At 36.2% G+C, this 14,439-nt stretch overlaps 1 protein-coding gene across 9 annotated transcripts in view, besides 1 other annotated feature; it reads left to right on the forward strand.

Annotated features, from left to right (window-relative positions):
* Positions 1 to 14,439, forward strand: part of KCNQ5 (potassium voltage-gated channel subfamily Q member 5) — a 576,790-nt gene that overhangs the window by 194,606 nt on the left and 367,745 nt on the right. The gene's annotated exons all lie outside the window — the stretch shown is intronic.
* Positions 8,778 to 8,827: an enhancer, noted in NCBI's record as "active region_24740". NCBI's record gives its function as "activates an Ori minimal core promoter by ATAC-STARR-seq in GM12878 lymphoblastoid cells {active_cell/tissue: GM12878}" and the evidence as "EXISTENCE:reporter gene assay evidence [ECO:0000049][PMID:35858748]".

Genomic DNA, 14,439 nt, shown 5'->3' on the forward strand with positions numbered 1-14,439 from the left:
TCAGAGATGGCCACGAGAATTCCAACAGTGTATGAGCCATTTTGTAATCCAGTCATGTGGTCACCCATGGATGTGGCCTGTCTTCCCAAGGATGAATTAATTACCTTATCTCTTTATTCATTGTCTTTCCATTCCCATTGTCTTAGTAATATCAGAGAAGTAGACTGAGTAATCTTTTCACAAGAGCACTCCTCAAGGTGGAAAAGGAAACTAGACTCTCAGTAGTACATTCAGCAAAGAGTAGGGAGAAACAGTCCTCCTAAAACCTGCCTTGCATATGAAAGACAGGAGTCAGGTACAACTATTTCACTGACCTGAGAAATACAGAAAGATGTTTGGGGTGTTGTCCAGGGACTGCTAGGTTACATTTATTGTCAATGTGAGTAAGAATTGTCTAAGAGTAAAATATTGAGGAAGACAAAATGAACATTTGCCTACTTCTACAACCAAGAAGGGATATATGGAAGAGTTCATCTGGAAAGTAAAATCACATTAAAATGCTACAAATTAATGTAGTTATTGTTGTTAATATTATTATCAACACTAATAGAAATGGCATAAACATACCTTCACATTTGCTACTATATATTGAATTAAAAAATGGTAGAGATAAGGCTAAATTTATCCTAGTTCAACAATGATTCAATTCATATGAGAAAACTGAGCATGATTTGTTCGTTTTGAATGCCTTAAACCAAATATTTTAATGTGCATTACTCACAATTAGATTCTAAAAATGTAAAACAAACATGATGCTACAGCACTAGTACAAAGGCAGCAAAAATGCATTTTAAAAGCAGGAATACTACTTCAGAAAAATGTATTAAAATTGAACATGAGCTTGAGAAAGTACCGCTCAGTGCAATCATGGAACCACAATTAAAGCTGGGCAAGACATGGAAGGTTTCCTGATAGCCTTGTTTTATAATTGTAGAAACTGAGGGCCGAGCTCAGTTGCTCATGCCTGTAATCCCAGCACTTTGGGAGGCGGAGGTGGGTGGATCACTTGAGGCCAAGACTGTGAAACTAGCCTGACCATTATGGTGAAACCCTGTCTTTACTAAAAGTACCAAAATTAGGTGGGCGTGGTGGCGCGTGCCTGTAATCCCAGCTACTCAGGAGGCTGAGGTGGGAGGATCGCTTGAGCCCAGGAAGCAGAGGTTGCAGTGAGCCGTGATTGCACCATTGCACTCCAGCCTGGGGGAGAGAGCAAGACTCTGACTCAAAAAAAGAAAAAAAGAAACTGAGGCCCACACAAAAAAAAGAAAAAAAGAAACTGAGGACCAAGGTGTCCAAGAGCCCCATTAAATGAATGCTTAAAGAGAAATCAAGCAAAATCCCTTCCATAAATCAGTAGGATATGTAACACTATGAAAGATTTTATATTGATCAGTTAATTTTTTAAAAAATCGAAGCTCAGTTTGAATGAACCTTAACTTAAAAGTAATAAAATTAGCCCTTTTACATCATAAGAATTTGAAAAAGTTGTGAATAAGCATTCACACATACTTATTTAAACTTGTATTAAATGTGAAGAAAGGCTGATTAATAAAAAGGAAATTTCATTGAGAAATCATGTTAATGTCATCATGGTTTTAACAGGTTAACTTGTTTTCTCTCTTGATTATAACCATACGTCTCTGATTTAATAAATTTTCTGAGTCTGTATTAATACAGTTGTGTGTATTGTTAAGAAATTGTTAGAATTTTTAAAAACGATTTTTCACAGAAAATAAGCATACTGCAAGAAGAAAACAGCAAGGAAGGGTATTTTTCTGAGTACTATACATTTCAGTTGTATTTGTAGTACCTATGTGACAATCTTAATTATTGGTTTTATAAAAGCTAAGATCAGGTAATTTGAAATTTACATAAACATTGCCCTTAATATTTAACTAAAATATAATATAAATTAAATTGGAAATGTTTTATTTGATTTATCTTTTACAGAAGTATAAATATTACAGCATATGAGTTATTTTATTAACCCTTGTGTTAACAATTATTTTTGAGATATTTTGGAACTTTTAATAACAGAATTACTAAATGATTCTTTAATAATTATAAAGTATGTATTATTTTAAAATAATAAATATTTAATTTAAATTTTTAAGTTTTAAAAACATTTTCATATTTTAAATAATTTTTAGTATTTGTTTAAATAATCTTTGATTAATTCTTTAACAAAGAATTAGTGTTTTTAATAACAAGATAAAATTGGCATTGTTTTCTATTTCACAGTAATGCTTCAGTCAGATACATACATATGCTTTGTTAGACATGTTACATGCTCTGAAAAAAGAGTTAATGACTGCGTGCATTCATTATGAGGTAGAAAATTCTTACTACTATTGATCTTGTTATTTCATGATTTGAAAATCTTAAAAGTTAGTAAGATGTGCACTAGATGTAGGGAATTAATGTTTGTTTTTTGGTTTTCTTAACAGTTCGACAATTTTATTTTTATTTATTTTAATTTTTTAATTATTTTTTAAAATTTGTGTGGGTACATCGTAGGTGTATAAATTTATGGTGTATGTGAGATGTTTTGATACAGGAATGCAATGTGAGATAAGCACATCATGGAGAATGGGGTATCCATCCCCTCAAGCATTTATCCTTTGAGTTACAAGAAATCCAACTACATTCTTTAAGTTATTATAAAATAAAGAATTAAGTTATTATTAACTATAGTCGCCCAGCAATAAAGCTACTAAAAAATCAACATATCGATGAATGAAAATACCAGGAATTTAAAATGGAATCATATTACATAACTTGATTCATATTATTTCATAATTTAAAGCCCTTTTTGTACAAATCACTATTAAAATCAGTACTATTTAGTGTTTCTTCCAAGAGTATTCAAAAGTAAGAATTATCTGATATTCCATAAGCAATCCAAGTCAGGAATATCTAATGTGAATGGTTGGTAAAACTGTTGGGGTCCTATAGATACATGCCCTTGCTCCAGGAAAAACTCCTTTCTCCTATCTCCTGGCTTCCAGTCCAGTGTCCCAGGGGCTCTGGCCGACAGGCTAGCATGAGCCATCATGCCTCTTGGTATGTCTCACTGGAGTAATTTCTCACCTATCATGTTTTGCCATCTCAGCTTTGTCCCAGTGCCTCTTGAGCTTCTCCGAAGGTAACCTAAGCTTCCTGTTTGTCTGCCTATTGCAACAGCACCTATTGCCACTTCCTTGGCAGCCTGTTGACTTGGAAATAGAACCCTACATTTGGTTTCTGCTCCTGACACTTTCTGAGCTTCCTCTCTGGTCTTCTCTGCTCCCATTCCTTCCTCTGCCTTTTGCTTTACAGATCCCCTTTTAAAGTCCCTTCCATCTGGGTATTACACTACTCCTCCATTTTTCTCCCTCTTCACATCTGGGTCATTAGAATCCATTGTACCAGTGTAGGCCCATTAAGGACAGATGCTTCCACTCTGCAGTAAGAATTGTGTCTCAGTTTATATTTTTCTCTGTAGACATATGTCAGCTTCTCTTGTCATAGTGTGTGTACATGCAGGTTGAACAAGTAGAGGACCTCACGGTTCCAATTTGAAGTCCAAAATACTATCACCATCAGCTGTAAATTTGGGGAAACTGAGGGACAAAGAGGTTAAATCACTTGGATGAGTCATCCAACTGGTGAGACTATGAACTGGGATTCAAGCTCAGAGAGTCAGGATGACGAAGTGTGTGCTCCTAAACACTTACCTTAATATGAGGGTAAGCAGGCAGGGTGAAATATTGAGGACACTAACAAATCTAGTCACCCTTTACCTGGGTCCTTCTTTTTCTTTCTTTCTTTCTTTCTTTTTTTTTTTGTAAGTTGATTTAATAGGTTGTAAGTTTATCTACGAATTCCAAAAAGTAGGTGTGTTCTTTAATAAGCAGTGTATTTGAGTATCTTGTTTTCCTATAGTGAGGAGAATAAAATATGTAAAAGCAGGAAGACAGAGGAAGCCTGGGTGAAAGGCTCAGAGAATGTGGCAGCATTTTTTTTTCTCTCCTTGGCATCACATCAAAGACAGACTCACAGAAAAAGACAGGCAACCCTCAAGATATTAATGAAATGTATCATTTCCCTCTGTAGTGAGGACCTGCCTCTGATCACCAGTAAAGCCTCAAAGCCATAACAACACATACGGTGTTTATGAATTTAGGATTTTACAGAAGTATTATAAGAGTTGTCATTTTCCAAATAGTGTTTTGTATGTTCATCGTGTACTTGCTGGAACATTTTGTGAGTACATGTACAAACTGTGTCACTGGAGTTTGGCTGGGCTTCTGGAGAAAAGAAGCTGATATATGGATAATGGCAAAGCATGTTGTGACATGGATGCAAGGGCAGAGAAATAAAAGACATAGGTCTCACCAACGACTATGTAGCTTCAAGAGCTGGTGGAATGAGGAAGACAATGTGGGGATGTTGAGACAAAGAGACATAAAAGCAGTAAACCACAAGGGACAGATGGTAGAGGTGTGTCAGGGGTTGCAACTGTATTTTATAAATGGTGGTAGAATATTTGGCCTAGTCACCCAACATTAATGTTCTAAGCAACCTGAAATCTCTCCACAAAAGAAGCTTTCTATGAAATTCCTATTTCATACACTCCAACTGTCCCCTAAGGAGTCATTCTAAAGAAGGAATACAAGAGATCCATCCTGAGTTCTAATTCTCTTCTCTCTAACATGTGGACACTTATAGATATTACCTTTTTCCTTGAGCTCAGCTGCAGCATGCATATAAATAAGAAACAAATTTACTTGTCTACCTCCCAAATAGTCTTTCATTGAATTTCACATATTAGTTCTTGTTACTATGGAAGACATTTGGGGCTAAATATTCCATCACAAATGAAATGCTACAGCCGTTTCTCTCTCCTTCTGAATAGTATTTGTGACAGATTAGCCAGCTGCTCATGAAGTTTCAAGATTTTTTGTTTGGTTTTGTTTTTTTTTTTAATGTATTAGAGTTTTCTCTACTTCTGGTAATTTCTGACATTACAAGTCTCTCAAATCATACCTCTATCTCTTTTGCTTCTGCTTTTATTGAAAAACAATTATTTCTTGCCTGGACTATTTTACTCCTCTTCTGTTGCATTTCTTGGGGCCTGGGTCTGTAGTACCCTCTCACTGCAGTGTCTTAGTGTCATTGCCAAAGCTGCCCTCAGAGAACTCTATGTAGTGATTTCTAGTTTTTCTCTCCAGGTCCCTGGCCATGCTTCTTATTGCCTAATGAACCAGGATCAAGGAGTTCGATCTCTGCATTAGCCTCTGATCACAGCCCCTGAACGGCCCTATCTTATCCTTCGTGCATCCTCTCTGTGACTCTCAGAAAGGCTGTCAGTTTCCTGGTCAGTCTTTTCCCTAATAACCTAGGGCTCATAGCATGCTCCATAATGCCCTTTCTTTTCCCTCAAGGGATCTTTGAAAATATCTCTGGCATATAACAGGAGGGGCCTGGATCTCTAGTACCTTCTGTGACCAGCTGCAGAGACTATCAAATCCCTGAAATGACTGCCTAAGAATGCAACTCCCAGGCCACCCCACCCTGCAACATCAATTTAAATTTTCCTCAGAGGAAATGTTATCATTTCTTGGTCAGCATCTGCCACTGTATGTGGTCATTTGGGCGACTGCAGTTCTGCAAACTTACCTCTAGACATAAGAGATGTTTAAAATAGACACTTAGGGATTTACTAACTGATAAAATCATAGAATGATGTGCATGTTTTTTTGGAACTTTTTTGTACTCCCTATTCCTTATGTGTTATCTGCTGAGCTTTGTTCATAAGATTGGTCTGCACATGGTTAGCAGGGACTAAAAACCACAAAGTATAAAGATAGAGACATCCACAAGATGCTTCCATAAAGCATGCTTTCCTAGTGCTTTCGGGAACTTTTGGGTGCTTCTGTCTCTTTGTTTTTTTCTTAAATAATAAGTTTTATCTTCTGTCCATTATTATTGAGGGTCTAGCATTTATGGAGAATAGGACAGCAAATCAATCTATAAGCTCTTTTAGTTTTCCTACTACTGCTAAAACAAATTACTACAAACTTAGTGGCTTAAAACAACACAAATGTATTATCTTATAGTTCTGGAGGCCAGAAATCCAAAATAGGTCATAGGGAATAAAATCAAGGTGAATGCAGAGCTGTATTCCTCCTGGAAGCTATAGGAGAGAATGCATTTCCTCTTTTTCCACATTCCACAAACCACCTGTATTCCTTGACTCATGACCCCATGTCACTTAGATCCCTGCTTCCATTGTCTCCTCTGACTTGGACCCTCCTGCTTCCTTTTTACGAGGATCATTGTGATCACATTGGGCCCACCTTGATCATATAGGATAATCAACCCTCCCCAAGGGTCTTAATCACTTCTCCAAAGTCCCTTTGCCATATAAGGCAACATATTTATAGGTTCCAGGGATTAGAATGTGATTCTATTTGGGAGACCTCCCCAACCCCCACTTAATTGTAAATTTGAAACTACGTGTAATACTTTTCACATATTGCATTGAAAATAAACATGTTAATATTTTTATTAAGACAAGAAAGTTGTTTTTTAAGATCACAACAAGCAGTTACTTGGAATTTTCATGAAAGAATATTTACCACATAGTCTTAATACATCTTGGTGGCTAGATACCAAATTGTGGTTTGCTGACTTCTTTACACTGATTATATGTATCATTAAAAATGGATGAGACCTAAAACTGCCAGACTCCATCCAATACAAAAATACAAGTATTTGTAGGAAACTCTTAGAATTTTCACATGTAAGAATATGTCACATTTCTGAAAAAAATTCTACCCAGTGACACCATTTCTTACTATGCCTATGTGTTTTTTCAGCGTTAGTATTTGAACATAAACACTTTTCCCTATAAAAGCCTATAAGCCAATAGCAGCTGCAGAAGGGAGACCTGCAAGTTGTTGGCAGGCTCTGGGGCTCACTCGGGTTCCTGACCCAGGCCTTTCTGAGTCTTTCAGATGCTTCACACTTCCCTGCACATCCTACTTCTGTGACACCCCCGAAGTTGCACTTATGGTCCAAGCTAAATGCTACCTCAGGAGCTCAGAAATAAAGAACATTGGAGTGAAAAAAAATTCCGAATTATGCTTGTAAACCAAATATATATGGATAGTGTGAATTGTGCAGACAACACATTCAAATACATTTCATATGGTGAAGTCTAGCCAACCTCAAATCTATTAGTCTGATCTACTTCATCCACTACATTTGTGTAAGATTACCCTTCTTTCATAGTAAACACATATGTAAAATATTTTAATGTGTTTTTGTTAGATTCATTTTAATGTTTCCAAACTGTTTCTATTAATATTAATAAGTACCATTTTATATGTTTTCTCCTATATTTCTTGTTTTCATCCAGGACTACTAGATTCCAGTAAGAATAAAATTAAACATTAGAGGTTTGTCTTCCATATTGTTTAAGAAAATTAGTTTCCCTTTTTAAATAATTACTAATATTTGAAGATTATGAATCATAAATTAATCACAAGTGCCATACCTATTATTTTAGAAGCAATTGAGCAATATAAATGGTCTTCAGTTTTACCAGTTCTTGATCTGTAGTAAATTCCAGCGGTGGTGGGGTCTGTGAAATAATGAAGAAAAAAATTATTTTAAAAAAAGAGAGGAAAAATGATACCTAAATTAGAAAATCGTTGGTTTTATTTCTTGTATCAAAATATCTGATAATTTTAACATTCATTATGTGTTCTTTTAAGAACTGATGCTCATCAGTTTTCTCATCAGTTTTTCTGTTTTTCACTTGGCATTTATTGATATTTTCTATTGCCTGAGTAATTTAAGAGCCTGCAAAATTAACCTGCCTTTCAATTTGCACATGTACTTATTATGGTAAAATCAATATTTTCATCCTAGGATTGGTCATGTACTTTGCAGCCTAATGATAAGGAGAAAAATAACCTCAGAAGAGTGAAGCTGTGCTGGCCAGCAATGGAGATTTGATAGGGAAGAAAGGTGTCATATCACCTGGATATAGCCAACTAACAGCTTGATATATATGATTCCAAGCCAAAACCTACATTTAGTCTCTCTCTCTTTCTTTCTCTGTCTCTGTGTGTGTGTGTGTGTGTGTCTCTCTCTCTCATCTTTATACTATAGATTATAAAATTTGGATACGTAAATAGTCATCCCACTTATTTCTAACACAATTCTGTGATAATAATGCCTTTTCAGTGTGTAGCTTTCATTGTTTTCAAAGCACCTTTATAGCCCTTCTCTCCTTTGATCTTTACAACAACCCAGAGAAGTGGGCAGGAGAGACAGTAATCTTCCCATTTTGACACATGAAGAAATCTCTTCAAGCTTCACTGTCTTTGAGGACCTCTGGGTAATGATGTCATCTGTCCTGAAACTGCCAGATGACTTTTGCTCTAGAAGAAGGCTAGGGAGAAAAAAACAAAACAAAACAACAACAACAACAAAAAAACGAACATTTAGGCTGGGAGACTGGGCTGTCTTTTCCCCCTTCACCCCTAAAAATCTACTTTGCAAAGAGAGCAACATCCACTCACCATCCCCAACACTTTCTGTTCCCCTTCCCTGATTTCTATTTTTTCCACAGCACTTACTACTTTGGGTTGTGCTGCACTGTATTTCATTTATTTACTTACTGTACTTGTTGTCTGGCTTCCCCACCAGAATGTAAGATCCTTGAAAGTAAGTATTTTTGTTTGTTTTATACATATCTCCCCAGCAACAAGAACAGTGCCACTGGTAGAAGGCATAAGAAAATGCCAGAATGAGTCACTGAGTGCAGACTGGAACTGGGAACAGGAACAGTTAGCTGGTGGTCCACAGGGAAGGTTCTCTCCTTTTCCTTGGTGACAGTGAGAAGTCTTATTTGCAAGAGGAAGAGAGCATGACTTAGAATAACAGTTTGGCTTTAGGTGGGACCTATACTATGCAACATGTGGAACTTGGAGGGCCTTGGAGAAGCTGAGCTTGGGAGCAGGCTCACTTGCCTGGGGAAGGGAAGTCTCTCAGCCCATTCTTTAGCCACCTAGCAATAGTTGTTAGTCAGTCCTGTTTGTCTACCCACACTAGCACATGGGAGGCACTGTATTTGTCAAATGAATGAATGATGAATGAATGAAACCAGTCATTTATATATTGAAGTAAATCAGTGTCATGGAATGTTTTATGTTTAAATGAAGAGAGAAAACTTTAATCAGATTAAATATAGGAAGGATATTTGGGATCTAGAAGGCCAACCCAGTTGTTCAATCACAGTTGCCTCCATGGGGGTCAACCTTAAGCGTTGTGCCTGCAAGCAATCACACTTCTCTGGTGGAAAAGCCATTCTGATTCTGGGGCCCTTTTTCCACCATTTCCCTTCATCCACAGCAAGGAGCTTCAGCTCTGGAGACTGTAATTTGCACAAAGCAATTCAGGGTATAAAAGCAAAACTACACACTTGCAAGGTAAAGATACCAATTCATTCGACTCTAACCATCAAAAGATACATATACACATATATGACATGAGGAATACTTTAGTCACCAGTTACCCTTCCTGCAAGATTAGTCATTAGATCCCATGATAGGCCTTGTTAATGCCATGGAGAGAAAAGAGATAATTATAATGAGTTAAATTTAGAAACAACAGTCATTTTTTGTGGATTAGAAATAGTGAAAGTCAGTGTCTTTCTATCAGTCTTTCACATCAAAAGCTACAGGAAAATCATAAGAAATAATGAATAGAAGAAATATGTACTATTTCTAATTGAAAAATGTCTTTTATTTCAGCTCCCTTGTATGGCTACCTGCTTAAATATATTCATGCTTATGTTTAATGTCTCCTATAGGTTCCTGCTATAATCTTCTTTTTTTTAATTGTTCTTGGGTTTTAAAAAAATGTTTGTTTGACAAATAATAATTATACATTTTCATGTGATAGATAGTGATGTTTCAATCCATATAATGTATAATGATCAGAACAGGGTAATTTGCATATCTATCATCTCTAATATTTATCATTTCCTTGTGTTAGAAACATTCAGTATATTTCTTCTAGCTATTTGAAACAATATAATACATTATTGTTAACTGTAGTCCTTCCACAGTGGTATAAAACATTATAACTGATTCCTCCTATTTAGCCATAATTTTTATATCCTTTGACAAATCTCTCCCTATCCCTCCCTTCCCCCTACCCTCCCAAGCCTCCAGTTTCCTCTGTTCTACTTTATACTTCCAAGAGATCAACTTTTTTTAGCTTCTGCACATGGGTGAGAACATGTGGTGTTTAACTTTATGTTCCTGGCTTATTTCACATAACGTAATGTCCTCCAGTTCCATCTATGTTGCTATGAATGATAGGAATTCATTCTTTTTATGGCTGAATAGTATTCCATTGTGTATGTATGCCACATTTTCTTGATCCATTCATCTGTTGTGGTACACCTCAGTTGATGCTGTATCTTGGCTATTGTGAATAGTGTGGCAATAAACATGGGGGTGCAGAAGTCTTTTTGATACAATGACTTTCTTTCCTTTGGATAAGTTCCCAGTAGTGGCATTGCTGGATTATATAGTCATTCTATTTGTGGTTTTATGAGAAACCTCCATACTGTTCTCTAGAGTGGCTGTACTAGTTTATGTTCCCAACAAGAGGTATAATATACAGTTCCCTTTTCTCCACACCCTCACCACCATTTGTTATTTTTTGTCTTTTTTATAATAGCCATCCTAACTGGGGTAAGAAGATACCACATTGTGGTTTTGATTTGCATTTTCCTGATGATTAGTGATGTCAAGCATTTTTAAATACATTTGTTGGCCATTTGTATATCTTCCTTTTATAAATGTCTGTTCAGATAATTTGACCATTTTTTACTCATATTATTTGGGTTTTTGCTGTTGATATGTTTGAGTTCCTTGTATATTCTAGATATTAATCCCCTATTGAATGAGTAGCTTACAAATATTTTCTTCCATTCTATAAGTTGTCTTTTTGCTCTGTTGATGTTTCCTTTGCTGTGCAGAAGCTTTTTAGTTTTATATAATCCCAGTTGTTTATTTTTGCTTTTGTTTCCTGTGCTTTCGAGGTCTTGATCATAAAATATTTTCCCAGTCCAATGTCCTGAACTGTTTCTCATATGTTTTCTCCTAGTAATTTTATCATTTCAGGTCCTACATTTAGGTCTTTGATCCATTTTGAGTGGATTTTTATATAGGGTAAGAGGTGGAAGTCTAGTTTTATTCTTCTGCATACGGATATCCAGTTTTCCCAGCAGCATTTATTGACAAGACTGTCCTTTCTCAAATGAGTGTTCTAGGAACCTTTATTAAAAATCAGTTGGCTGTAGATATGTGAATTAATTGTTGGGTTCTTTATTCTGTTCCATTCTTCTGTGTGTCTGTTTTTATGTTAGTACTATGCTGTTGTAGTTCCTGCAGGTTTGTAGTATATATTGAGGACTGGTAGTGTGGTACCACCATCTTTGTTCTTTTTGCTCAGGATTGCTTTGGCTACTCAGAGTCCTTTGTGGCTCTATTCAAATTGTAAGTGTTTTTTTCTATTTCTGTGAATAATGTCATTGGTATTTTGATAGGAATTGCATTGAATCTGTAGATTGCATTGGGTAGAATTGTCATTTCAACAATATTAATTCTTCTAATCCATGACCATAGGATCTTTCCATTTGTTTGTATCCTCTTCAATTCCTTTCATTAGTGTTTTGTAGGGTTCCTTATAGAGGACTTTCACCTTCTTGGTTAAATTTATTGCTAGGTATTTTACTTTTTTGTAGCTATTGTAAATGAGATTGCCTTCTTGATTTCTTTTTGTTAGTTCATTCATGTACAGAAATGCTACTCATTTTTGTATATTAATTCTGTATCCTGCAACTTTACTGAATTCGTTTATCAGTACTAAGAGTTTTTTGGTAGAGCCTTTAATTTTTCTTTACATAAGGTCACGTCACCTACAGAGACAATCTGACTTCTTCTTTTCCTCTTTAAAAAAAATCTTTGTACTACCTACCTCTATTTGTCAAAATGACTTTTTCTCCTTTATAATGTGGATGCCTCTTTATTTTGTTTGGTCTAATTGCTCTGGCTAGTACTTCCAGTACTATGTTGAATAAAAGTGGTGAGAGTGGGCAGCCTTCCTATTCTAGTTCTTAGAGGAAAACCTTCAGCTTTTCCCCATTCAGTAAGATGTTAGTTGTGGTGGTCTTTGTTTTAATACAACCTACAAAATAAAATACATTTATGTACATATCTACATATATACACACACATTAAACATAATGTGTATGTATACATATATAGATATATTTATATTTATATAGACCTAAATACATCTGCATAGATATATGACACGTTCATGATAAACCAGTTTGACTGTGGTGTGGCCCACACACCTTTGCTTGCCTGTTTCTCCTCCCACAGTACTGTGGCTCTCCAGAGAGGCTCTCATATATACCCTGCTCCAAGAGCCCCAATATGTGTCCTGTTCTGCAGCAGGACCGCTTATGGAGATGCTCTTCATCAACTAGGTAGTGCTCATTTCTGTATGTTCTTGAAATCTGGAAAACCTCAAGACAGAAAATGAATTTATTTTTAAAGTGGAATTTAATGCAGCAATTAGACAGATGAGAAATATTTTTGGCCCAAGGCATTTTTGTTCACACCTTATAAAGGAGCATTTTTGGTTCTGCTTACAAATGACTTTACCACAGTGTTGAAAGTGTCTCTCTCTCTCCTCTTCTCTTCTCTCTCTCTCCTGCTTAAAAATGACTTTACCATGGTATTAAAGGTCTCTCTCTCTGTCTCTCTCAATTCTTTCATTCATTTATTCAATATATACTTAATATATTCTATGTGCAAGGCACAGTGCGAATAACTCTCGAAGATGTTTTACACTCATAAGACATGTGCCCAAAATGCTACAGCATTAATTTGCCACATGTATTATTTGGACAATTCAGTAGATGCCATAGAGGTTCTAGGAGAAGGAATGTTTCTGGACCAAGGATCAGAATAACATTCAGGGAGGAGGTGGCAAGCATACAAAAGGTGGAATGAATAGATGTTTGAGACAAAGTAAATTTTCAAGTTTACATAAAAAAGAACGTTTTTCTAAGAGAGTAGTGGGAAAGTGGAACTAAAGACTTGTAGCAAACAAGTTGTGGGTAATTCCAAATGTGGGCTGAGGGGCCTTAGATTTCTGTATTGATAGGTAAAGAGAGCCACACCAATAACAGACAAACAGAGAGCCAAATCATGAGTGAATTCCCATTCACAATTGCTTCAAAGAGAATAAAATACCTAGGAATCCAACATACAAGGGATGTGAAGGACCTCTTCAAGGAGAACTACAAACCACTGCTCAACAAAATGAAAGAGGACACAAACAAATGGAAGAACATTCCATGCTCATGGATAGGAAGAATCAATATCGTGAAAATGGCCATACTGCCCAAGGTAATTTACAGATTCAATGCCATCCCCATCAAGCTACCAATGACTTTCTTCACAGAATTGGAAAAAACTACTTTAAAGTTCATATGGAACCAAAAAAGAGCCTGCATTGCCAAGACAATCCTAAGCCAAAAGAACAAAGCTGGAGGCATCACACTACCTAACTTCAAACTATACTACAAGGCTACAGTAACCAAAACAGCATGGTACTGGTACCAAAACAGAGATATAGACCAATGGAACAGAACAGAGTCCTCAGAAATAATACCACACATGTACAACCATCTGATCTTTGACAAACCTGACAAAAACAAGGAATGGGGAAAGGATTCCCTATTTAATAAATGGTGCTGGGAAAACTGGCTAGCCATATGTAGAAAGCTGAAACTGGATCCCTTCCTTACACCTTATACAAAAATTAATTCAAGATGGATTAAAGACTTAAATGTTAGACCTAAAAACCATAAAAACCCTAGAAGAAAACCTCGGCAATACCGTTCAGGACATAGCCATGGGCAAGGATCTCATGTCTAAAACACCAAAAGCAATGGCAACAAAAGCCAAAATTGACAAATGTGATCTAATTAAACTAAAGAGCTTCTGCACAGCAAGGAAACTACCATCAGAGTGAACAGGCAACCTACAGAATAGGAGAAAATTTTTGCAATCTACTCATCTGACAAAGGGCTAATATCCAGAATCTACAAAGAACTCAAACAAATTTACAAGAAAAAAACAACCCCACCAAAAAGTGGGCAAAAGATATGAACAGACATTTCTCAAAAGAAGACATTTATGCAGCCAACAGACACATGAAAAAAATGCTTATCATCACTGGCCTTCAGAGAAATGCAAATCAAAACCATGAGATACCATCTCACACCAGTTAGAATGGCGATCATTAAAAAGTCAGGAAACAACAGGTGCTGGAGAGGACGTGGAGAAATAG

The sequence above is a fragment of the Homo sapiens genome, chromosome 6 (assembly GCF_000001405.40).
Source record: "Homo sapiens chromosome 6, GRCh38.p14 Primary Assembly".
Taxonomy (NCBI): domain Eukaryota; kingdom Metazoa; phylum Chordata; class Mammalia; order Primates; family Hominidae; genus Homo; species Homo sapiens.